Raw genomic sequence first — 27,981 nt, 5'->3', positions numbered from 1 at the left:
TTTTACTCTGGTAGCTAGAGAGTTTATGCACTTTTTACTCTGGTAGCTAGAGTGTTTATGCACATACATACTCTACATATACTCTATGTAGATATGAAATATATAGTAATGTTATACTATATTATTAAATATAATATACAATATATTATACCATATTATTATATATAACATATCATATAATGTATTTAAATATATATATATATGTGTGTGTGTATATCTCCAAGGTAAGCTTTATTTATTTATAAGTCCCAACTTAAAGTTGGAAACTAAGATTTAGGAAATGAGCAATTAGGCACAGATTAAGCCATTTCTCTGATTCTAAATGGCATGAACAATATCAACAATGAGTATATACAAAGGCTAATAACAGCTAACATTTACCAGGTACTCACTTATTTCCAGGCACTGTGCTCCTCTGTTGAATACATTTATATTTAGTTCTTGCAACAACCTGAAGAGACAAGTTTTTCATCCCCATTGTACAGATGAGGAGCCATGGGCTTAGACTCAGTAAATAAAAGTTGTCCAATGCCAAGCAGGTCTATTGGACTTCAGAACTGGAGGCATGTTCCCTGGCCTCTCACTTCCGTTTCCACCACATCATATCAACTTTATGCAGGGTGGGGCTGATATGTGCAAAATCACACATTTCAATCCCAACTAACTTTACAGAAAGACATGTTTCATCTTTGGGAAAGCCTTTTCCAGCTCAAGTCTTCTCTCTCACAAGTACACAATCGTTTGAGTAAAACAGTATACAGAGTAGTCATTTATTTATTTAACAAGTTTTTATTAAGCATCTATTAAATATTATGTGGCAAGCACAGTTCTAATTACTGGGAGTGTAGTGGTTTATAAAGCAGATAGTTTAGTGGGCCAGAGAGATGTTAAACAAATAATCATATAAATGGATATAAAAGCACAAAACTATGTATGTTTTATACAAGAAAATGTAAAGGTTGAGGAGAGATTGTAACAAGAGGACCTGAAGTAGTTATTGAGGGTGGGAGACTGGGGTCATTAGCAAAGACTTCTCTGAGGACGTGACATTAAAACTGAGCCCAGAAAAAAAAATTACACATGTGAAGAATAGGATGGTGAGGATTTCAGGGAGAGGATAGAGCAAATGTCAATCTCTAGGATGGGAAACACTTGACACATTAAAAGATGCTGAATTTAGAAACCCATGCACTCATACATTATGTTTATAGGGATAAAGAAGATGTTACTGCATGTCAGTCATTGTGTGTATAATAGGAATGTGAGGATACCTATCACAGATCTTGTCCATGGGATAGCTCAGTTGCAAAGATAAATGGTGTGATAAAGGCATAAACAAGATTGTCTTGGGAAGAAGAGAAAGAGCAATTCAGGCATCACAAATAAGCTCTGAATGTGAGTTGAGAACTGGAGAGTGGGTGGATCAGATGGCATAGGTGTGGGAATGGGTTTTCCAAGCAGAGGGAATTGTATGTACAATTAAAGGTACAAATAAAGGTACAGGTAAATATACAAGTAAAGGTACAAAGCTGAGAGGGTGATGGAGCTCTGGGGAGAGGCTTTAGAGAAGGGCCTAGAAGTTATGTTTTGGACAGACTGCAAAACAAATGGTTTTGTAAATCCTGCTAAGAAGTTTTAGACCTTCCGTCTTTAGCAAGGGGCAGATGTTGGAGGTTTTAGGCAGAAGCAAGATATTTAAAAGATAACTGTGGTATTTCTACCTCTGTCTATTGGTCATCTATTTGTCTATCCGTCTATCTGTCCGTTTATCTATCTATCATCTATCTCTTTCTAGCTACCCACCTACTTACCCAACCTCTGTCAATGTATCATCTGTCTTGCTATATTTCTATCTATATTGATCTTTCTTCTGCCTAGCTATTACCCATCTGTCATCTATCCAAAATGACCACATTTTGAAGTTACCGTAGTTGTGCATTGAACCCTCTGCACAATCTATGCAAAGGCCCTATTGTAAAACACCACCATCAGTGAAAGATAAGCAGATACCTGCAGCACCAGCAGGGAAGGCTCAATAGCGTCTGCACAGATAACACACTGTGCTACTTATTATCCTTTAGTTAAACTCTGTGGGTCTTATCATTTTCTTTGAGTAATTTGGGCATTTCAGATAAGGTTATTATTCATTTCTTAATGTTTATGTGTATATTTACAAGCAGTAGCAATATGTATAGATTCATTTGCTACAGATACTTGTCTAAAAATTAAACAAAGATCTGCCAAAATACGGAGAAGCACTTAAAAGCTATCCCCAAGTGTTCCTTTCTTCACAAAGTCATCATGGAAACAAGGGTGGAGTTGTAGTGATATTGCCAATTCAATTCAGATTTAAATTTACGTTAAAAGTATTGAATACCTTCCTTGGCAAGCAGCATGCATGGCCCTGGGGAAACAAGGACGGTGAAGATGGGCTTCTCCTGTTGTGGTCCGCAGTGTGCAAGGGGCGCTGACTTGAATGGGATGGTTTTGTTCCTCATGGCAGGTACTGGGAGGGGAGATGCTCTGGGAAGGCATTTGAAGCAGAGCACACAAATGCATGAACGCTTCTGGATGGAAATACTGTGTTTGGGGAATTGATCAACAATAAACAAAGAGGAATCATAATGCAGTGAGATGAGCTCTCATTTACTAACCCTGTAATTTTGATCCATTTATCTCCCCATGCCTCAGTTTCTTCAATATTAATAGTGAGAATATTTATTCTATTTATCTCACCATTTGTAAGGATCTTCTCTCCATAAACAAGCAATTTGAAAACAACAAAGTTGCATATTAATGTTAGTTTCTAAGGATATCATAATTAAGAAGAAAAGAACTTCCCTTTCTGCCAATTCATCCTCTGCACTTCCTTTTCTGCTGGCGATCCACACCCTAAAACTGTACTTATCTTTCCTCCTTGGAGACAATGACAGAGAACATGACGGAGCTACAGAGGAAAGCAGACAACACTACCTGGGCTTAGAGGGAACATCTTGGTTAGTCTTCGCGATCCCACTTCAGGAAGCTCTTTCCTAATGGGTGACATTGACTGAGCGCCTGAGCAATGAGGATGACATGCTAAGCATCCATGGAATTTTACATATCTCTTAATCCAGCATCCTTCACACTATCGCATGAGATACGATGTCTGTGGAAAGAACAGTTCTGAGTTGGTGGCTGTGCTGAGTTCTATCCTGAGGCACCATAGCTGTCTCCATTCACTGACTGTGCTTTCCCCAGCTGTGTGTAACTTACTATCAGGGAGCCTCTAGGATCTGAAAAAAAATTAAGACAAAAAACTTCAGATGGCCGAACACTTCCAGCTGAAGCGACGTTATTCTGAGAATATTTTGGAAGTTGCACTCGAGTTGTTGCTTTACAGAAGTGAAAAAAGTATTGACATTTCTAAGCCCAGAACTATTTTTTAACAAGCTAGAAAATATAGGAAAAAAAAAAAACGGGTAGAACATGTTTCTCAAGAGAATGCAGTGTAGCTAGAATGTACACTATTTTTTTCCCAGCATGTATTTGGGTAAAATATGTGCACTGAAATTTCAGGCCAAATCCTAATGCAGAAATAATCCCAAATATGGCAGATTTATAAGCTAGGCAATTTTTATTTATTTGCTAATGTAGATTCCCTTAAGAGCTCAAATGTTCTACTTTTTACTCTTGGCTTCTCCTTGAAAAGACTTACCTGTAAGGTCTCAGCAGCGTAAAACTCCAAGCTGCAAAATCGTCTGAATTCAGCATTTGCCATAATTCTCCTTTGACATCAACTCAGGTTGGTTTGGAATTGACTTGCACTGTACCTGTTTGGTAATTAATAATTCACAATTAAATTGGCAGTACAAATAAATCAGCATGTCTGCAGGCTTGGAGCCTCCACTCTCTGTGTTATCTTCCTTTTATTTGAGGATCTGAAAGAAAATTAGAAAGAAAGGTTTGAGTATCTAAAGTCTTCCATTCAAAGCTTTACCTCCCTTAGTTTTGGGACTTCTTTTCAATCTGTTTTGGATCTTTCTTTCAAAGAGAAATTAAGCATGTACCATTGTCAGCCTGTGTGATTTACACTGAGGAGTAGAGATGTGTGTGATTCCACACTTGCCCTCCAGCTCCTCATCCTCTAGGTGCAAAGACAGTCAGAAGACAATAAACTGCCATACACAGAGCATGTTCAATACCCTTCCTGAGACAGGTCTAAACAAAATGCAGCAGAAGAGATGGCTGCTTCTGCTTTCAGGATGTGGGGAGAGGTCAGGGCAAATGGCAGAGGAGAGAGGATGTTGGGGTACCCTTTGAAAGATGAGTCATATCTGTTCAGGTAGGGAATCAAGAAAAGACAGTCAAGGAATAGAAAAGTTATAGGAGTGCTGATGCTTTTAAAATATTTGGGAGAGGACAAGGGGCCAGTGTGTGCCATGTACTGTGTTAGAGGAAACAGGGCCTGAGATGAGGTTTGTCAGTGGGTTTGGGGGTTCGACTCCAGAGAGCTCAGGTCATGCAGAAGGGTTTGTTTGCTTGTTAAACCTGGTAGAGTGTGTGCCATGTGCTGTGTTAGAGGAAACGGGGCCTGAGATGAGGTTCATCGGTGGTTTTGGGCGTTCGACTCCAGAGAGCTCAGGTCATGCAGAAGGGTTTGTTTGTCAAACATGGTAGGCCATTCTGGGGTGAAGGAGTAAGGAGGACAGCAGTTTGCTTCCATGATTACTTGGAAAGACTGCTCTGGTTACATGTAGGGAATAGATTGGAGGGACCCCAAAATGGAAAGAGACCAGGTGGAAGGTTCACGGTGGGAGGCTATTGCAATTATCTCCGTGAAAATTGGTGAGAAACAACCAGGACAGTGGTGATGATAAATAAGAGGTGAGAAGGAATCTAGGAGTTTTCCAATACTGACCTTTAAGTTGAAGAGCATCAAGGCCTGGAGGTGAGAGAGTAAGACCAAGTGTCATTTTAGGCTTTGTAGTGCTGTGGGTACATGGGCATGGTCCTGGCCCATGAGAGGAAAACTGTTGTTTGTGAAATATGTTTTTTCTGTCATCATCATGATCATTGTCATCATCATCTTAGGAGCTAACATTTATTGAGTGCTTACTTTATATCAGTCACTCTGCTAAGCCATTATTTCACCTAAACCTCACAATACAGTGAGTTTAGCTACCATTATCATCCACATTTCCTGAGTGAGAAGAATAAAGCTCAAAGGGACAAAGGCAGGTCACCTTGCTAACGGTCATGTAGCAGGTGAGGAATTAAACTGATTAAAACACTGGTCTATCTGAATCCAGAGCCCTGCTCCTAACCAGTAGGATATGATGCCATTTAAAAAATACAATTTGGAGTACAATCTCATGGTTACAGTAACAGTAAGGACACCCACACATTGCTGGTTGGATCCAGGATTTTCCAACTCTATCAAGAGAGTCAGAAAATTTCACTGAGTTTTAAAGGATGTGTCTTAAGGGATGATTGGGGATTTTCAGGTTAAAATAAGTGAGAAATAAAAGAGTTCCACAATGGAACAACCTGTTCAAGGTCAAAGATTTTAAAAGGGTCTGGGATACTCAGAAAATAGTAACTAACTCAGCGTTATCAGCATTTTGAGTGCAATGTTGGGGAAGGCTTGAGGCTGAGGACAGGGCTCCCTAATGGTTATCAGCTTATGCCACTGATTCCACTAAAAACAGTAGACATGGGGATAAACAGGAGCTCTTGGAAGGCTTTGTGAATATTTTTGATTTTGCCTTTCAATCAACAGTCACACCATCTCTCAATTCCTCTGCTTCCCACCGCTCTTCCCACATCTGCCTCCTGCTATCGCCAAGGTATAATATAGAGCTCCTTCTACCATAAATACAAGGTAAATGTATATGGCCATATCCTTGGCAAATCAAGCAACTTGAAATTTATTACTGCAAACAATATTTATTATAAAAACATGCTATACAAAAATTTGTAGGCTAACACCTCCTTTTAAGTGCAAAGAATTATTCTCAGGTATTTCTTCTATCCTGTTTCCTTACAGTTCCTCCTCAGATCATGAATATCTCCTCAGACATCACTGTGAATGAGGGAAGCAGTGTGACCCTGCTGTGTCTTGCTATTGGCAGACCAGAGCCAACTGTGACATGGAGACACCTGTCAGTCAAGGGTAAGGTGCTGACCTGGAGGACGTTTTCAGAGGTAGTATGTTAAAGTCTTGGCTCTTATGCACAACAGAGCTTCAGGAATCAGAAAACATTTTGTAATCCAGTCATAGAAAATCAAACAGGCAATATGCACCAATTGCTGGCTATTTCATTTCAAAAGAAGGATTCATAGAGGAAATTTGCTAAATGATGGTGTCAGTCATTTTTATGGCCTTAGATGGCTTTTGTTTTCCAAACTATGAAGAACAAAGGACATAAGAATAACTTCCAATGAAGATGTGAATTTCTGAAAGTAGAGGTGGGTCAGTTGGTGGTTTGTTCTTCCTGGAAGTAGAGTGCAAGAGTATTAGCGTGGCCATGGAGAACTTTGGCATTATTGTGCGTCCAGGAGTAAAAGGATCTCCTTGCTTCAGCACTTTTAGGACATTTATCCAGAGCCACACATGTCTGACATGTCCATAAATAGTTCACCTTGAGTGGAAGAAGGATGATGGAAATGGTTAAGTGCATTTGGGCATGACTGTGCTGAGCATTCAATAATTGGTATGAAAACATCAGTTAAAACCATTTCCAACTTAATAGCAAGGGAACCAGAAGGACAGTGGGGCTTGCCCTCTTGGAAATAAAACTTGCCCCAAGTCAAACTTGAAGAGGTGGGCACAGAGCCACTTGAAATATTTACACTGTTACTAAAAGCTGTGATTAAGTCTAGGAATTATACAAGAAACAAGAGCTTCCTCAGGCATTAAACATTCAAACATGAAACCAAGTAAGCAGGAAAAATGTATGGAATATGGCTACATAACATTCAAAAATAATATTGATCTACAAGAAAGTTTAAGAGTAAATCTTAGTAATATTGAGAAAGACAAAGCTTTGCCAGGACAAGAAAAGCCCTAACCGTAACAGAAGAAAAGTGATAAATTCATATTAATACTGAAATACTCAAAACTGTGTGATTTAAATAACAGAAATTTATCTCCTCACTTCTCTGGAGGCTAGATGTCTGAGATCAAGGAATCAGCAGGGTTGGTTCCTTTCAAGAGTCTGAGGGAGAATCCATTCCACGTCTTTCCCCTAGATGCTGATGGTTTGCTGGTAATCACTGGCATTGCTTGACTTGTAAATATATTACCCTGATCTCTGCCTTCATCTTCACATGGCCCTCTTCCTAGATGCATCTGTGTCCAAGTTGTTCCTTTTAATAAGGATATAAGCCATAATATATCAGTGTCCACACGAGTAACTTCGTTTTAACTTGATTACCTCTGTAAAGACCCTATTCCTAAATAAGGTCACATTCTGAGGAATCAGGGGTTAGGAATTCAAGGTATCATTTTTATAGGCTTGTAACTTAACTCGTCATAGCCTTCATCAAAATTAAAAACCTTCGGTGGAGACACAGACTGGATAAAAACATTTCTTGTACATATATTTGACAAAAAATTTACATCTAGTGTATATGAAGAATTCTTCCAACACAATTCTAACACTCCACTTCAAACTGAAAAAAAAAATGGGCAATTCCAAAAGAAGATACAGTATATGAATGGCAAATAAGTACACAAAAATATGACTAACATCTTCATCATATAAATAAAAATCAAACCAAGATGAGATACCGTTATATAATCCCTAGGAAGACTAAAATTATAAAGGCTGATAATATCGAGTGTTGGTGAGGATGTGGATCAACTGAAGCTTTATATATTAACTCTGCAACTGTGAAAACATATAAGCCCTATAGGAAACAATTTCACATTTTGTTATAAAGTTAAACATACACTTAGCGTACGACCCAGCAATTCCACTCCTAGGCATTTATTCAAGATAAATGAAAGCATATGCTCACAAATGTACATTGTACACAAATGTTTTTAGCAGCTTCATTAATAATAGCTGTAAACGACGAATAACCCAAATAACCATTGACAGGCAAATAGATTAATTGTGGAATATTCTAACAACAGATTGCTACTCAGCAATTAACAGGAACAAACCACTGGTGCACATAACAAAATGGATAAATCTCAAAAACGGCATGCTGAGGAAGTTAAGCTAAAAATTAAAAAATACATGCTGTATGAATTTGTTTGCATGAAATCCTATAATAGGAAAAACTAATCTAGAATGGCAGAAGTCAAGTCAGTGGTTACCTAGGGTAGGGATTAGGGGAGAAGTGACGGCAAAGGGCCACAAGAAATTCTGGGGGATGTTGGAAAAGTTCTGTATCTTGAAGGTTATGTTGGTGTCAAAATTAGTCAAAACTAATAAAACTGTAAAAAAAAGTGCATTTTATTGTAGGTAATTATATTGCAATTAAATTTGAAGTATAAATATACCGAAATGTAGACAATAATGATCTGAATTTTTTTCTTAATTTGGAACATTATTTATGTCATTGCACTTATCAAATAAGAGACTGGATCTTTTACCAGGAGCATCATTCAATCTTTTGCTGCTTTTTACTTTGTGGACTGAGAACACGTATTTTTGCTCCTGCCTTGTTATAGGGAAAGATAATGCTAATAAATTAGCCTAATATTCTTGGTATAAAGACCTCAGCTATTAAAACCTAGAATGTCTCTATATCATAAAGTAAAATTAATGAGAGTATTAAAGTATATGTAAGGGATATCGCAAAACTCAAATTTAATATAAACAGAGCAATAATGTTCCCCAAGACATGGGTTCCATGATAATTTTGCCTAAAGTTAGAGATAATTTTGGATTTATATTATATACAAAACTATGTCTAACTTTTATATATTTGGTAAAATCAAATGTCTTTATAAATGCTTGAAATCCCAGAATGTAGTTATTTGATCCTAAACACACAGTTCTCTAAGCTTGGAAATCATTTAAAAGGCATTTTAACTTTGTGTAAATGTCCTGAAACAATTCATTATAATGGTACACTGGTAAGATTTTCCTTTTAAAATAAGGGAGATTCATTCATATTCCCAATCTTTTACAGAGTGTAATAGTTGCAATTTAGCCTCACTGGAAAATCCTAAATTTAAATGATCCCTCTCTTCTTTAAATCTCACAGGCTGTGCTGTACTTTGAAGTTGCCTTTGTTTTCTCATAGGCTTGGCCTTAACTTTGTTATCCTTAATTTTCACTATTGTCTTCCCCCTTCCCTCTCTCAATGACATTTAAGCATTTGAACTCCAAAAAATTGTTTCCTTTGAAAAGCGCACGGGCCATGCTAATCTTCTCTGTATCGTTCCAATTTTATACCTAATGTAGGTGACGGGTTGATGGGTGCAGCAAACCACCATGGCACGTGTATACCTATGTAACAAAACTGCATGTTCTGCACATGTATCCCAGAACTTAAAATATAATAATAAAAAAGAAAAGCTCTGGAACATGAAGTATTTGTAAGTTTAAAATTTGCATCTGCAGGGTGACTGCCAATATTTATTTTCAGAAGGATGCTCCTTCTCACTTGCAATTAGGGAGTTGTTCTAAAAGATTAGAAGTACATTCAATAAAACTTGAACATCAAACAGCATTTTTTTGGAAAAATTTGTTGATGGATTCAACATGGAAGAATAAGAAATAAAGGTTGCAATGACATTTTCTTTCAAATTCCAGTAGGATTATGGTGGAGGAGTTAGCTAATGCAATATTTGAAATATATGATTTAAATTTGGGGATCTATAAACAGGGACAAGTAAATCAGCCTTCATTTAAGAAAAATATTTTAATGAGCAGTTATTAAAAATTAAAAATAGTAACAATCACACTTACAGTTTAAGATGGCAATATGAGTACATGCTGTTCACCCCTTACAATTACAGAAAAGAGGTAAAAATAAATGAATAAATAAATCCATTATCACATTGGAGAAAAATAATAGTAAGCTTTGATGGATCAGAAACTATGAGGATTCTCTGAAATATAAAAAGTAGACAGATATAATGAAGGAAAAAATACAGCTCAAAATACAGAAATGCGATCTCTACCTGAGATGATAATGGTTGAAGAGTGAAGGTTTCAGGTAGTGCTGCACTGGTAAGTGAGTAAAGTTGATTGGAGTGGGAGGAGGCAAGGGAATGAGAGGAGTCTGGGTAGCCTCTGCCCATGTTGGTGGTGTAAATACTCCCATCATTGATGTTTCTGGGGAACCCCTTTGAAGTAACTTTGCTTTTCAGGTATATTTGTTTCACAAAAACAAACAAACCAAAGACATATCCTTCTTACCAAAGGAGGGTAAAAGTTTTGAAGCATCCCCAAGTTTCCAAAGGTGGATCCCAAGACATCCCAGCTTTTCTACTCTGTAGACTGCGTAAGCTGCTGGAGCCCTGTCGACCTCTCATCTCCTTGGCAGTACTTAAAGTGTACCAGGATTCCCAGAACCTGGGCATTTTCTGAGGACACATGCCTCACTTTTGAGGAAAGCTGGATGTTACCAGGATCATGATTAAGTGTTGTGAACATAACGAAAAGCACTATGCAAACGTCCCTTTGGGGTTTTGCTGTTTCTATGCAAACTGCTGAACTTTTGACTGTGTATTCATTCTTGATCTTTAGATACAAAAATCTATACTTAATTTTTTCAATAGCAGCCAATGGCTTATTAAAAATATTTATATAGATCTGCTAGAGGGTATGGTACTTGTGTAGCAGCCTTCACACATATGGAAATCTGTACTTAGTGACCCATGGCCCAGGAAGTAGGATGATGATGGAATCACACAGGCTGCTGCCTCAAATAATTTTCCAAAGGAAAAAGTCAGGTCCCAAAACAAGCAAGCAAGGTGTATTGGAATACATTGTGAATCAGCTGCACTTCAAGAATTACTTCCTTTCCCGTTCCTGAAAGACAAGAGAAGGGAAGCTGGGCCAGCATAAACTGGCAGGCTCTTCTAGGCACATGAGTAATGTGAAAAAGTTGCAGGGATGGGAGTGGCAGAAGATCCTGGAGTCTGTTGTGTTCTAAGGAGGGTAGTCGTCCCCTCTTGCAATGCCATAGTCGTCCACTGCGATGCCTCACACACCTGGCTCCATTGCCATGACATATTTGGAAAGGCTAGATGTTTGGGAAAAATAACAAAGGCTTCCTTCCTGTCTCCCCTCCACTGAGATTTTAAGATGACAACTCTTCACCTATGAGTTGCTCATGGAGTCTACTCAGATACAGTAACATCTCAGGGAGCAAGTGCATGAGCTATTTCATACAAGTGAATTTTCCAGGTAACCAAAGCTGACTCTTTTATGCATTTACTCAAGTTATTTCTAATGAAAGCATTTAAAACATGAATTAGGTTGTACTTTGTGTATTTGTGTCTAGTGAATGCCATTTAGCCTCATCTTTATATTGTAACATCAAGATTATACATATCGATTGTATCTTGGCATTTGGGGACTGGGATAACTAGGAATATGACCCTTTAATACTGTCAATACTGTTTAAATTCTTGTGTCTTTTTAAAAATAGCTACTGTATTTTTTCTTTCTTCCATTCAATCAGACTTGTCAGTTCTTCCTAAAGTCAGTGCACCTGTCTTTTAGCAGCCGCATTTCTTCTGATCTGCTTCTAATTTGTCTTGAGCAAGAATCCATAAAACTAAGTTGATTAGTCCTAAATAAGAACTAGTGGTGGGAAAGGGCCTTCTCTGAGTATAGGGCATTAGCTTTCAGGAATGTGATCAATGGCACTGATGACACCTGTCTGGGGGAAATAATGTTTGGCTTTGTTCTAGATATATGAGGATGATAAATGAGTGAATTCCATGGAAGTAAAGAGCTAATACTAGCAAAATCACCACCTATGGTTATCACCTGGTTAGGCAGTTTTGTCTTCTAGTCACTCTGGTAGATGTTCAGGTTAGAAATGTACTGATCAGCTGAGCGCGGTGGCTCATGCCTTTAATCAGAGCACTTTGGGAGGCTGAGATGGGCGGATCACCTGAGGTCAGGAGTTCAAGATCAGCTTGGCCAGCAGGGTGAAACCCCATCTCTACAACCACGCCTGTAGTTGCAACTGCTCAGGAGGCTGACGCAGGAGAATCGCTTGAACCCAGGAGGCGGAGGTTGCAGTGAGCCGAGATCAGGCCATTTCACTGCAACCCGGGTGATAAAAGCGAAACTCTGTCTCAAACAAAAAAGTACTGATCCATGACTGTTTCTGCTACAGCGTTCATTTTTCATGCTAGAAATTCCTAAAGAGAAAGTTTTAGAAGGAATCACCAAGTTCTTAGCACTCCAAATAAAAGATGCACTGACCCGCACTTGTGTATAGGTATCGATCCCTGTTGGATGGTGGTGTTAGCCCATTGGCAGAACATGGACTTCAGAGTCTTATCAACCTAAGCATGAGATCTGGACTGAGTTGTTAACGCCCTGAGTGACTTTCGAAATGTCGATTTATCTCACTGATCCTCAAAACCCTTTACTGCAAAATGGGAACAACTTTATCAGTTTATTTTAGGAATCAAAAGAGAGAATGAATGGAAAGCAGGTAATAGTGTTGAATCCTAACTCAACAGTTATTTCTGAACTGTAGTTGTGCCATATTTGCATTTGAATGCATTCTTTGAATCCATGTAGCATACAGATAGCCTGGGTACTTGTTATGATGGTATTATGATGAGTGCATACTGCATGCCCAGCCCTGTTTTGTACATTTTTTGTGTTTTAACTCATTGAATGTGCCAGCAGCCTTGGGAGAAAAGTGATAATTTTTACTATTTTATTACCTCTTGTCTTTGTCTCTTATTCCTTGACAGTCCAGAGGTCTTTGATTCATTTCTTTGGCCTGAGTGTAGAGTGGGAATGATATAGCAGTTTTATTTGTGATAGGCAAAAAGGCAAATGTCCTTCATTGGGTATATGGTTAAACTGTGGTACAATCACACCATGAAATACTACACAGCAATACAAAGGAATGAACTATTGTTACATTTGACAACTTGGATGGACCTGAAAGGCATTGTGATGAATAAGAAGAGTTGGTCTCAAAAGGTTGCATATTGTATGATTACACTTTTATAACATTCTTGAGTTGTCAAAATTGTAAATATGCACAACAGGCCAGCAGTTGCCAGTGGTGAGAGTGGCAAAAGGAAAGGGAAGCAGAAGGCAGTTGCCTTGGGTTGATGGAGCTGTACTGTATCTTGATTGTTATGGTACCTATATGACTCTATATGTGTGACTGAATGTTGCCGAACTATACACAAAGACATAAAAATAAGTACATGCAAAAACTAGTGAAATCCAAGTAAACTCCACAGTGCAATTATTCATAACTTTATTTATTTTTAATTTTTAATTTTAATTTTAATTTACTTTAAGTTCTGGAATGTGCAGGATGTGCAGGTTTGTTACATAGGTATACTTGTGCCATGGTGGTTTGCTGCACCTATCAACCCATCATCTAGGTTTTGAGCCCAGCATGCATTAGGTATTTGTCTTAATGCTCACGCTCCCCTTCCCCCTCACACCCCGACAAGCCCCAGTGTGTATTGTTCTCCTCCCTGTGTCCAGAGAACATGCAGTATTTGGTTTTCTGTTCCTGTGTTAGTTTGCTGAGAATGATGGCTTCCAGCTTCATCCATGTCCCTGCAAAGGACATGATCTCATTCTTTTTTATGGCTGCATAGTATTCTGTGGTGTACTAAAACACCAAAAGCAATTGAAAGAAAAGCCAAAATTGACAAATGGGATCTAATTAAACTAAAGAGCTTCTGCACAGCAAAATAAACCAGCATCAGAGTGAACAGGCAATCTACAGAATGGGAGAAACTTTTTGCAATCTACTCATCTGACAAAGATCAAATATCAGGAATCTATAAGGAACTTAAAGAAATTTACAAGATAAAAAAACAGTCCTATCAAAAAGTGGGCAAAGGATATGAACAGATACTTCTGAAAAGAAGACATTTATGTGGCCAAAAAACATGAAAAAAAGCTCATCATCACAGATCACTAGAGAAATGCAAATCAAAATCACAATGAGATACCATCTCATGCCAGTCAGAATGGCAATTATTAAAAATTCAGGAAACAATGAATGGTTGTGGAGAAATAGGAATGCTTTCACACTGTTGGTGGGAGTATTAATTAGTTCAACCATTGTGGAAGACCATGGCGATTCCTCAAGGATCTGGAACCAGGAATACCATTTGACCCAGCAATCTCATTACTGGGTAATGGTATTTGGTATATACCTAAAGGATTATAAATCATTCTACTATAAAGACACATCCACACATATGTTTATTGCAGCACTATTTACAATAGCAAAGACTTGGAACCAACCCAAATGCCCATCAATGATAGACTGGATAAAGAAAATGTGTCACATACAACTTTATAAATACAACTTTATATATAATACTATATGCATACACACACACACACACACACACACACACATATATATTTAGTTACATAAGATGACACCATTGGGGGAGATGGGTGATAGTACTGGGTACCTATCTCTACCATTTTTGCAACTTCCTGTGGATCGACAATTATTTCCAATGAAACAATTAAAAAAATAGAAATACAAGGAAAATGAGTCTCTAGTATTCCATTAACAACCTATTCCTATATATGCTTATATAAGAATTTGTTGTTTCTAAAATATTTTCACATGAATCATCTCAAGTGGGTTTATAGCAGCTCCCTAAAATAGGTCAGAGAAAGAATAATTTGTCTATTTCACAGGGAGGGAAACAGATGGAAAGGTTAAGTAATGACAAATGAATCACAGCTAACTAAAATGGTAGCTTTATGAAAAGAACCTAGTTCCTGATTTTCAAGTCTGGAGCTCTTTATATTATACAAAGATGGCTTCCATAGCTTGAGGTTGGAATAGGTATAATGTAAAATGATATATTGAATCAAATTCTGCTTGTTATCTGGGGCACCCAAGGGTGCTCACTAGCTTTGAACATCACCCATACTCTTGCCTTGCCTTTCCTAAGTCCACACCTACCTTCCTATGTCTAGTCTCTTTCTAGCTTCCACTCAGTATTGTTCTAACAAAAGCACAGCCTCCAAATCAAAGCCACATTCATGCCATTGTCCGCTGTAGGTCCCTGTTGTTCCTCTGTGTCAATTAAAATAAACCTGCTGAGACTTCCCAACGTCATTTCTCTTCTAAGCCATCCCAGGTAACAGTTCCAGCCACTAATAGGAATTGCCTATTAGTTGACCTGCTGCATCATCCAGTCTTGCTACTACTTCTTTGTCTCTCTCCAAGGCAGCTAGGAGCCTTGTTTCTAATCTGAAGTCATGTTTAGAGCCTAATTAATCCCTGGAGTGTGAGAAAGAGGTGTCTGAGATGAGAAATCAAGGTTATACATATCTTGCTCAGTGGAACAGTTATGGGCAAACAAGCTGTTCCTCTCACATTTTTGCAAAGCAAATTTATGTTCACTAACTTTGGTTCTTGTTGTAAATGAGAAGTGTGTGAAGGTCTAGCAATGTGCTTTTCGCCATATGGGTACCCATATGTTTTCCCCCTTTGCTTGCGTACATTTTCGCTTTGGCATGCACATATGCCTGTATTTTTGCAACTTAACAATATTAAAACTAATCCCATTTATGCTCCTTTTGGGTGAGTTGATTGAGTCATAAATTCCTGAGAATCTCCTTCTTGGGAGGCTGAAGTTCTTTTGTGCAAGCGGGAGGATGGCAGAGCAATCTATCCTAGCAGAGGGATGCCTTCAGCAAGCGTCACTGTGCAGCTGATGGCCCTGACCCAAACTCCGGAGTGCTAACCTAACACTGGAAGTCTCAGAAATGTAGATTCATAATGCCTTCACATTGACCCCCACCTTCCCTCCCCAAGGTGGAAAACCCTCACTAAGAAATAAGTAGTAATTACCTAGGGTTCTCTTTCTAAAGTCCCAGGTGAATTAACACATCTTACAACAAACAATTATGATGTCTTTAAGCTGTGGTTCTTGATAGGTGACCACACTTTCTACTTAATACTCCTCACACTGAATTGAGAAACTATGCATGTCAGAAATGGGACAGCTGGAAATTAGGCTTGCACAGAAATGATGCTTAGATTCTTCACTGGGCATTTTAGAGAATAAATATGAGAATGGATATCACTTGTATCATATCTAGTGAAAAACCCAACTAACTTAAATGTAAAATTGGAACTGGAAATCCTGCCTACCGTCTGTTGTAAAGCTGTCTATCTTTGTCTCTTATGCCCTCATTCATTCACTCATTTAATGCATTAAGACTATTTGCTTTCCCTTTAGCAACAATGATGTGTAAGATAGACGTTGTTCCTGCCGGTCTGGAGCCTATGGTCTAGTGGGAGAGATAGCTATTTATCAGGTGATCAAGGCCATGGCATCTCACAGTGTGGTAGCTGCTGTGAGGATGGGAAAAAGTGTGGTATAGCCTAGGGTAACTTTTCCCTGAGATAGTGACATTTGAACAGACACCTGAAGATTAACAGAAGTCAGGGAGGAGGGGAACTGGAATGAGTGCATGTATTGAGGCTGGGCTGAGTAGAAGCCTTCAAGGCAGGGAACAGCACATCCAAATGTCCCGAGGTGTGCTGGAGCTGGCTCTTCAAGTTAAAAAGAGCTGTGTCTTGAATGCATAGAAAGCAGGTGAGACAATGGCCTGAGATGGGATACTCATAGACCAGATTGCCTACAGCCCTTTAAAGAGTTAGGTCCTTTGCAAGGACATGGATGAAGCTGGAAGCCATCATCCTCAGCAAACTAACACAGGAACAGAAAACCAAACACTGCATGTTCTCACTCATAAGTGGGTGTTGAACAATGAGAATACATGGGCACAGTGAAGGGAACAACACACACTGGGGCCTGTCGGGGGTGGGGGCAATGGGAGGGAGAGCATCAAGATAAATAGCTAATGCATGCGGGTCTTAAAACCTAGGTGATGGGTTGATAGGCGCAGCAAACAACTATGGCACATGTATACCTATCTAACAAGGCTGCATGTTCTGCAAATGTATCCTGGAACTTAAAGTAAAGAAAATAATTTTTTAAAAAAGTTTTGTCTTTATTCTGATAGCACTTGGAAATAGCAAAAGAGTTTCAAGTAAGAGAGCTTGGAAGTAAGATGTTCATTGTCTGGATTTAACTAAGAACATCTCATTTCTGATCTACTCATTCTCTATGTAAATCTGCAGTTGACTAAACCTCTGTCTATTTCCCCACCTAGAAACCAGAAACTAATTAGTAATAATATGCTTTACATATGGAGGAATGGAGGATGGATTCTGATAGTATCTATTCTGAATACTTTCTACATTATAATATGAGAATGAATATTAACATGTATCATAGCAAATGAAAAGCCCAACTAACTCAAAAGTAAAATTACAATTGGAAAGGCACCCATTGCTGCCTGCTGTATGTTGTAAAGCCTTCTCTATGCAATTGCTATATCAAATTATGCTATTGAAATCAGTCAGACACTGATAAAATTGAGACCGACTTTACAAGTTCTGTAGATCTAATTGGCCTCAGCAGTGGGTCCACAGTGACTCTTGCTGCTGAACAAAAAATGTGGGCTTCAATAGAAAATAATAAGCAGCCTGGTTCCATACTAACATACTGCAGCCACCTCTGGAGATAATGCACTTTAATTTAGACACTGAGCTCCTTCATCTGGCCAGATGTTGAAGGAATCTTAGAAAGGTTTGTTTCCTCCTTCCCTCCTGGATGAGCACCCTTGATAGTACATTTGAAAGACCTCTGGGTCCAGCTCTGTGCACCTACCACCCTTGGTGTTCCCTTTTCAAAGCCATTTATACTTCTTTCTAAAAATCTCTACATCCCTAGGGTAAAATTCCTATAAGTCACCTTTTCTTGCTTAAGCTGTTTTAAATTAGGTTTCCATCACTTAGAGCCAAAGTAGCTCTGATTAAATTCACATGCCATGTAGAGGGCAGTATCTAACTGAGCCAAGTAGAACATAATCCCTGCTCTAAACTGAGAGCCGTGTAGAATGGGGAGACACGTACATGGTACCACAAGGTGACTGGGGCCTAACCAGCTGTGAAAAGACCTCTTTCATATGTAGAAGAGATAGAGAGGTGGCGGCCTGGAGTCATTGATTAACTTTTCAAGCCCACTGTCTCCACCATGGGTTGAAGAACTTGTGGCTGGATTTAGAACTCTGGGTGGGCAGCAGAAGAGGTTCGACATCTAAATCAGCTAGAGTCAGTCTGAGAAAGACACCTTGGCTGTGGGTCTGAGTCATAGAGTAATTAACACCAGGGGGTCATCACCGACTGAGTGCACCAAGCGCACAATGTTTATTTAATGCACGCATGCCTACCATGAGAAAGGTGTTGAGGATACCACCTTGAGTGACTGAAACTCAGCCTCTCTGTCATGATCAACCTCTCATTACTCTGGAAAAACTTTATGAAGAGCAATTAGTTTGTTTCCATCAATTGATTCACTAACCTTTCCTTGGGATGATATGCTCCACCCTGGCCAGAAAGTATCCCTTGCATCTCTCTGTCCTTAGGTTATTTGAGAGCAGGTATGGTACCTGGGGCTTACATATTCAGAAGAACACAAATGACTTACATTTTGCAGGCGATCAAAAAGTGACTATTGAATGGGTACACACACATGTATCCATCGTATATCGATCCTGTAGCGTGCCAGAGAAAAAAAAGGGGAAGACAGTGGAGATTTGCAAAGACAAGTTCCCAGATGCAGGAAGCACTCTGTCTGTACAGTGAAGGGGAAATCTGATGTACAGAGTGAAGGATGTTTGGAGAAGGCACTTCAAGTCCTAGCTGTATTAGGAGCCTGCAGGAAGTTGCAGACTTATCTCCCAAGCATTTTTCTTCCATTTCCCCCACTATAACTATTAGCCCTGGATGACGAGTGAGCTTACTGCTGACGTTTTAATTATATTAAGTTTTAACCAAATAGTGAGGCTATCCTAGTTTAGGCTTCTAGACACGGTGATCTGTGATCTGGAAGATATTTTTCAATTCGTGTCCAATCACTTTTTTTTACTGGAGACCTATGACTTGTGCTGGAAAACTCATTGCCTTTACCAAGAAGATGCATAACAAGAGTTGGGATGACTTACCTCAACAGATACAATTTGATTTTTACAAATTGGTGAGTGATCTTACCATCTTACGCCATCCAGTTCTCTGTGTGACACCAGAATTTTGACCTTCCCTGTCTCTGCAGGCTCTTTTCTTCCTGCTTTCTTCCAAGAGCACCTGAAATCATAAACTTCAACTATGCTGGGTCTTAGCTCCCACATGTCCGAGGTTGAAGAATGACTCTAGAAATGATGGTAGTGTGAAGAAGATCATTCCTCCCCAGTTTAAAGGTAGTAATCATGGTTAATAAGCTGTTTCTCTGTATGAGATTCAGAAGAAGGAGGAAAAGGGGAAGAAAACCAACTAACATTGCTTAGAGGATTTTAACTAGAGTGGGCTCTCCAGTCTCACAAATGTTCCAGCCTTGGATAGGGAACCTCCACTGGAGATGAATAGGGTCAAGAGGAGGTGATCTCATGAAGTAAAAGCAGTTGATTTTCACTTCGAACCTGGGCTTCACAGCTGAAGGCTGTGATTGACTCACACAATAACAAGGACTGGGGTTGAGTGAGGAGGTGAGGGAATTTGATCTCCCACAGAACACCTAAAGTATAGCCCAACTCTCCCTACCCTATTTCCCTCCTTGTAGCCTGCAAAGTGGGAAGCCTCCTTAATCAAAGAAGGAGATCAATGAAGTCCTTTCTGCCTGTCTTTTGTTTTTCCTTTCCTGTCCCCTTCCTTGTGTTATTTTTCTTATTCTATCAAATTTTCCCACTCCAGAATCCCTTAATGGTGAGAGTAATCCTCCTGGGGTGCTGAAAATAGTTTGGTTTTAATGATACCTTAGATGATTTTGCTTCCTAAGAGAAAGATTTAGTAAAGTCATTGATATAAACAGAGCCACTAGTCCCCTGCTTTTCCAATTCTCTTCCTTTTCCCAACAAGCTCTGCTCAGCTCACCTCTGCTCTTCACACCATTGCAGTCTAAATGCTTTCATCCTGGGCCTCTCCAGGACCTCCTCCTGCTCCACTTAGCCCATGCTTATTTGTCCCTGCACAACTGGAGCCTGGTGCAGTAATTACAGCTGTGGTGAAAGGGTTTGTCTCCCTTGGGCACTCAGGACGTTGCCAGTGCTGCTGGTGAAGATCTGAGCCACTTTTGTAGGGCATCATAGGGCCGTGGTGCTCTGGGATGTCAGACAGCAAGATGTTTGGAACCCTACCCACTCCTCTTTCTCTCCCCTACTCTGCACTCTTCTTCTTTTTACTCCTGACCCAGCCCCAAACTTCCTACCACACTTTGTATCTTTTTGGCAGGATTTTCTGTCCCAGAAGGCATGAAAGCAGTTGGAACAAAGGCAGTTTGGCAAAAAAATATTGAGTCATATTTTAAGACTCTCCTGATATTACTGCACCTCTGATTCTGTCTAAGGAGTAAAGAAGCTTCAGAGGCTGCGTGTAGCTGGAATTATACTCCCGAGAGCCCAGGCCCTCCAGAACCCAGCAGGAATCCACAAAGAAAAGCAGACTCTGCTGAAGCATAGGGCTTGACTGTACATCCTTATCCCCTAGTGTTGCTATCTCAAATCACCTCATCCTGATACTCCTTCTCTCCTTACCTGCCTTCATTCTTAAGAGCTACTGATCCTTCAAGCTCTGTCGCACTGGCCTTTGTCCATTGCTGTTTCTGGTTGTGGGCGACTTTCAAGCCTCCCATGCTTGCTGGACTGTCTCAACTTCTGATTTTTTGCATGCTTTGACTATAAGTCAATATCATAAAACCATGCCATGGCATGTCCTCATTGTCATCATCATTATCACCAAAATCATCCTTTAAATTTATTGACATGCCACTTTGACTTAATCTTGGTTTTCAAAAAGGTCTTCTGTCAAAAGGCAGACAAAAATAAATAAGCAAGTACTTAAAAATAGCATATAGACAGAGACTACCATACACACTTTACACAGAAGGAAATGGAGACTTTGGCTAAATGTATTGCATCTGGAAACAACATTCCTTCAATTATTTATTTATTCATGCACTTGTTCAGTCATTCAAGAATGAATTAGTGGGTGCCTTCTACGTGTTATGTACTGTGTTTGAAACAGAAGAATAAATAAAATTATAGTTTTCTCCAGGAAGCTCAAAGTTTAGTGAAAGGCTCAGACATAATAGCATTTAATTATAGTACAATAAAAGTGGGTGCATTAGTGATATATTCATCATGTTGTAGGTTCACAGGAGAGGATCATTTAACTCCAGTTGTTAAATGTGAAAGAATCAGGGATGGCATCCTGGAAGAGGTGACTGCTAATCTGGCTGTAAACATAGATTCAGAGTTATTCAAAAGAAGGAAAATGAAATGGGTGAGGTAGAGGCAAAGAGAAATATTCTAGGCAATGGAGATAAGAGAAGAGACATGAAAATGGGAAATTGCATGGTATACTTAGAAGGATAAAATTCATTTTTTCTTATTGAAGCATAAAGTATGAACTTGTTGTAATCCAAATAAAGTTGAACTCATTTGTTGATGGTCCCATTATGACACTGCTTTCCATGGAAACAAGTTTGATCACACCCGCTAAGAAAACAAAAACAAAAATTAATGTAAGCAAAATCTGTATTCAAATCTTCAAAGGGGTCCCCAAAGGACAAATGTTTTCCATAACAGGTAGTAAAATAGTTGAATGTTGCTTTTTTGCCAGTCTTTCTATTTCACTCACAGTTTGGCAATCTTTTCTCTTTCCCTTCCACATTCCATGAGAATTCTATGCTACCCAGATCTCTACTTTCTTCCCTTATCTGCTTTCCTCTTTCCATAATAATTTTCTCAGATTTCTAACATAAACCAAATAGGCTTCTTCTCTTAACTTCTTCATTAAGCAGCACTAACCATTGTTCTGCTTAACATTAGGGCTACAAATCAAGAAAACATCTATACCTTGATATGTAATGAGGTTTGAGAAGTACATGAAGAGTGAATCATGAATGGCTAAACAGACAGTGAACATAAGGGAAGAACAAGGGCTTTTTATTTAAAAAAATCTTGCGGTCATAATTTAAATTACCGCAGCTTTTGGTGAGTTTTGACAAATTTATATATCTATATAATCACTATCCTAATCAAGATACAGCATATTACCATTACCTCAAAAGCTTCCCTGTTTCTTATTCTTCCCAAAACCTATCCCCACTTTCAACTTGAGGCAAACACTGATATGTTTTCTGCTGTTATATATTAGACTTTTTTAGAGTTTAATATATATATATTACATGTATATATTTAGCAAAATATGTATATGCATTCTATATGTATATATAATCTACATGACACAAATATATATTTAAAACATGTGTATATGAACTATATATTGCACCCTACACACATATCTACACTCTGAAAAAAATGTAAAATCTTGTATAATTTTAGAACATATACTCTTGTTTCTGGATTTCTTCACTCACCTTTTGAGTTTTATTCATGTTGTGTGTGGTTTTTTTATTGCTAAGTGGCATTCTATTATATGATTGTACCACTGTTTGTTTACTCATTTGCCAGTTGGGTGGACATTTGGTTGTTTCTACTTTTTGGCTATTATGAGTAAAGCTGCTATAAACACGTATGTACAGGCCTTTTTCTGGACATATATTTACAATTTTCTTGAGTAAATACTTAGGAGCAGAATTGGTAAGTCGTATAGTAAGTTTATACTTAACGTTACAAAAAGCCACCAAACTATTTTCCAAAATGGTTGTACCAATTTGTATTCCTATAAGCACTATAGCTGTTCCACAGGCTTGTCATTGTATAGTATCCTGTCTTTGAAATATTATCTATTCTAATAACTGTGTAGGCTAAAACATATTTGGTTTTGAGTTGTTTTTCTTTGAGGATTAATGAGTTTGGGCATATTTTTCACATGGTCATTGGCCATTGGTATATCTAATTTTGTGAAGTAGTGGTTGAAATCTTCTGACTGTTTCTAATTGGGCTGTTTATCTTTTATTATGGAGTCATAATTTATATATTCTAGATACATGTCTTATGTCAGCTATATGTATTCGGAATAATTTCTCTTAGCCTATGCTTTGCCTTCTCATTTTCTTAATGGTGCTTCTAAAGGAATCTTGTAAAGGAATTCAGTTTTACATTTGGATGAAGTCCAATTTATCAATATTTCACACTTAATGGAGGTTAAAAACGTTATATTCTATGTTTTTTTTCTAGATGTTTTAGAACTGTAACTTTTTTGTTTAGCTGTAAGATCCATGTGAGTTAGTTTATGTGCATGGTATGAGCTAACATTTGAGATTCATTTTTTTTCCATACAGCTCTACAGTTAATCCAAAAGCATCTGTGGAAAACATAATCCTTTTTCTAATGAATTACCTTAGTTTCTTTGTTGAAAATCAATTGACTGATTTCTTTCTGGGAATCTCTCTTATTTTCTATTCATCTATATGTCTATTCTTATGCCTGAACCATACTGTTTTGATTACAATCACTGTTAATGTTTTGAAATCAGACAATGTAGATTGCCAAACTTGTTTTTTTCAAAATAGTGGCCAATCTATGTCCTTTGTATTTTCATATAATTTTATAATCGGTTTGACAATATTTACCAAAAAGATGTTAAGATTTTGATTGGGAATGCATTTAAATTATATGTTAATTTTGGAACAGTTGACATTTAATAGTATTGAGTTTTTCCAAGCCTTAAAATATATTCTTCCCTTTATTAAGTCTTGGCTAATTTTTCTCAACAGTGTTTTATGGCTTTCAGTGTGTGGTTCCAAATTATGTCATATTTTTGAATGATTATAAAGGAAATTTTAAAAATCTCAATTGTTCATTGAAAATACACAGAGATACAATTGACTTTTTTATATTGACCTTGCCTACTGTGACAGCTAAATGTATTCCTTGATTCTAGTACTTTTTTTAGATACTTAAGATTTTTTACATAAATGATATGTCCTCTATGAGGAGATAGTTTTACTCTTTCATACCAGTCAGTATGCCTCTTATTAATTTTTCTTGTCTTATTATACTGGCTCAGTTCTCCAGTAACATGATATTAAAAATACATTGTAATACTGACATCCTTGTCTAATTTCTGATTAGAGGAAAAACACTTTATTTTTCCCATTAAGAATAATATTATCTGTAGGTTTTTTACAGATGATCTTTATCAGATTGAGAAGTTATTTTCTATTCCTAGTAGCTGATTTGTGTGTATGTGTGTTTATTAGTCCGTTTTCATGCTGCTGATAAAGACATAGGAACAAAAAGAGGTTTAATTGGACTTAACAGTTCCACATGGCTGGGGAAGCCTCAGAATCATGGCAAGAGGCAAAAGGTATTTCTTACATGGTGGCAGCAAGAGAAAATGAGGAAGAAGCAAAAGTGGAAAGCCCTGATAAACCCATCAGATCTTGTGAGACTTAATATCACTATCAAAATAATAGCACAGGAAAGACTGGGCCCCATGATTCAATTACCTCACCCTGGGTCTTTCCCAGAACATACGGGAATTCTGGGAGATACAATTCAAGATGAGATTTGGGTGGGGACAAAGCCAAATAATATTACTCTGCCCCTGGCCCCTCCAAATCTCATGTCCTCACATTTCAAAACCAATCATGCCTTCCCAACAGTCCCCCAAAGTCTTAACTCATTTCAACATTAACCCAAAAGTCCACAGTCCAAAGTCTCATCTGAGACAAGACAAGTCCCTTCCACCTATGAGCCTGTAAAATCAAAAGCAAGCTAGTTACTTCCTAGATACGATGGGGGTACAGATACTGGGTAAATATAGTCATTCCAAAAGGGAGAAATTGGCCAAAACAAAGGGATTACAGGGACCATGCAAGTCCAAAATCCAACATTGTGGTCAAATTTTAAAGCTCCAAAATGATCTCCTTTGACTCCAGGTCTCATTTCCAGGTCATGCTGATGCAAGAGGTGGGTTCCCATGGTCTTGGGCAGCTCTGCCTCTGTGGGTTTACAGGGTACAGCTTCCCTCCCAACTGCTTTCACGAGCAGGCATTGAGTATCTGTGGTTTTTCCATGCACACAGTGCAAGCTGTTGGTAGATCTACCATTCTGCAGTCTGAAGGACAGTAGCCCTCTTCTCACAGCTCAACTAGGCAGTGCCCCAGTAGGGACTCTAGGTGGGAGCTCCCACCCCACATATCCCTTCTGCACTGCCCTAGCAGAGGTTCTCCATGAGGGCCCCACCCCTGCAGCAAACTTTTGCCTGGGCATCCAAGCATTTCCATACATCTTCTGAAATCTAGGTGAAAGTCCTCAAACCTTAATTCTTGACTTCTGTGCACCTGCAGGCTCAACATCACATGGAAGCTGCCAAGCCTTGGGATTTCCACCCTCTGAAGCCACAGCCTGCGCTGTACATGTGCCCCTTTCAGCCACAGTGGCTCAGCTGCGACACAGGGCACCAAGTCCCTAGGCTGCACACAATACGAGGACCCTGGGCCTGGCCCACAAAATCACTTTTTCCTCCTGGGCCTCTGAGCCTGTGATGGGAGGGGCTGCTATCAAGGTCTCTGACATCCTGGAGACATTTCCCCCATGGTCTTGGGAATTAACATTAGGCTCCTTGCTACTTGCTCAAATTTCTGCAGCTGGCGTGAATTTCTCCCTAGAAATTTTTTTTTTTCTATCACGTAGTCAGGCTGCAAATTTTCTGAACATTTATGCTCTGTTTCCCTTTTAAAACTGAATGCCTTTAACAGTACTCTTTAACAGTCACCTCTTGAATGCTTTGCTGCTTATAAATTTCTTCTGCCAGATACCCAAAATCATCTCTCTCAACTTCAAAGTTCCACAAATCTGTAGGACAAGGACAAAATGCCACCAGTGTCTTTGCTGAAACATACCAAGAGTCACCTTTGCTCCACTTCCCAACAAGTTCCTCATCTCCATCTGAGACTACCTCAGCCTGGACCTTATTATTCATATCATTATTGGCACTTTGGTCAAAACCATTGACAAGTATTTAGGGAGGTCCAAACTTTTCCACATGTTCCTGTCTTCTTCTGAGACCTCCAAACTGTTCCAACATCTGCCTGTTACCCAGTTACAAAGTCACTTCCACATTTTCATGTATCTTTTCAGCAGCATCCCACTTCTGGTACCAATTTACTGTATTAGTCCATTTTCACGCTGCTGATAAAGACATACCCAAGACTGGGAAGAAAAAGAGGTTTAATTGGACTTAAGTTCCACATGTCTGGGGAGGCCTTAGAATCATGGTGGGAGGCAAAGGCACTTCTTACATGGTGGTGACAAGAGAAAATGAGGAAAAAGCAAAAGCGGAAACCCCTAATAATTGCCCATTAGATCTCATAAGACCTATTCACTATCACGAGAATAGCATGGGAAAGACCCCCATGCTTCAATTACCTCCCCCTGGGTCCCTCCCACAACACATGGGAATTCTGGGAGATACAATGCAAGATGAGATTTAGGTTGGGACATGGCCAAACCATAACAGAGTGTGTGTGTGTGACTAGATCTTCCATTTTGTCCAATGTTTTTTTTGGCATCCATTGAAATGATTATATGATTAATTATGTGAAATGATTTTTTAATGGTAGACCAACCTTGCAACCAAGAATAAATCTGGTGTGGTCATGACATACTCATACTATCCTTTTTTGCATTAGTTGATTAACTTTGTCAATATTTTGTTACTGATTTTCCATCTGTTTTGTTCATGAGGGCAATTGGTCTGTAATGTTACTGACTGGTTTTGGTATCAGTAATTCTGGCCTCATAAAATGAGTTGGGACATGTTTTCCCTTTATTTATTTTCTGAAAGAGTTTAAAAATAACTGATATCAACGTATTCCAAAGCAGTATTTAATAATATTAATGGTTAACGGTTACTTTGCCATTTTTATTATTGTAATAGCAATATTTCTAGTGTTTTCTATTAGGTATGATGATGGTTTCAGAGAGCTCCTTTACCACTTAAAGAAGAATACCCCTTTTCCCATTTCAATAAAATGTTTAGTCAGGAAAAGATAGGTGTTATCAAATTTTCTTCTTAGATAAGTTACAAAAATAGTCATATTATTTTTTCCCTTTCAGCCATATGTATGATTTTAAAATGATGTTTATTTTTTAATGTGAAAACATTCTTTTTTACTCCATATTTACTGTTTTTGCTTTAGTAGTTATAACTAGGAATATCTCTAGTTTATCATATTTTTAAGAAACATGTCTGTAAGTTTTGTTTACAACACCATACTCAAATTAATTGATAGATCCTCTATTTGAACTATGAATTGTTTAAAATATAATTAAAAATTATATTCCTTAAATGTTAGAGAAAAATTGTCTCTATAGTTATTCAGGTTCAAACCTAGTTTGTGAGTATTTTTTGGCAATTTTAAAAAAAATTTTTGTTGTTTTTAATTCAGAAATTTTACCTTTGAATTAATTTCGGAAATGTATAGGTTCAATTTTGATAACTGTTCGATAGTTGTCAAGTTTATAGATATTTATGTTAATGTATGAGCACACAATAGTATACATTATATAAACATTGTACAAAGTATATGTAATTGAATATACCTATAGTTATATATAATTCATATGGTATAAAATACTTCATTAATACTACAGTACAAGATAAATATTAAACATAAACATCCAGACTGAGAGAGAATTCTGTTATTCAGATTGTGCATAGCCATATTGCATTGTTTGCTTCTCTAAACTTTATGAAAGCAAAAATGAGTAATACCGGATTTTAATAAAGTGT

At 38.3% G+C, this 27,981-nt stretch overlaps 1 protein-coding gene and 1 pseudogene across 8 annotated transcripts in view; one reads left to right on the top strand and one right to left on the bottom strand.

The window, feature by feature from the left end:
* OPCML (opioid binding protein/cell adhesion molecule like) overlaps nt 1–27,981 on the top strand; it is a 1,117,521-nt gene that overhangs the window by 997,287 nt on the left and 92,253 nt on the right. For all 8 annotated transcript variants that reach the window (NM_001319104.4, XM_006718846.4, NM_001012393.5 and 5 more), the window contains one exon: nt 6,029–6,154. In NM_001319104.4, coding sequence (NP_001306033.1) covers nt 6,029–6,154 — 126 coding nt within the window. The remainder of the gene's footprint in view (nt 1–6,028; nt 6,155–27,981) is intronic.
* LOC124902819 (uncharacterized) lies at nt 9,328–9,406 on the bottom strand (annotated as a pseudogene).

The sequence above is a fragment of the Homo sapiens genome, chromosome 11 (assembly GCF_000001405.40).
Source record: "Homo sapiens chromosome 11, GRCh38.p14 Primary Assembly".
In the NCBI taxonomy this organism is placed as follows: domain Eukaryota; kingdom Metazoa; phylum Chordata; class Mammalia; order Primates; family Hominidae; genus Homo; species Homo sapiens.
The sequence above is the reverse complement of the archived record's forward strand: the minus strand, read 5'-3'. Positions and strand labels throughout refer to the sequence as shown.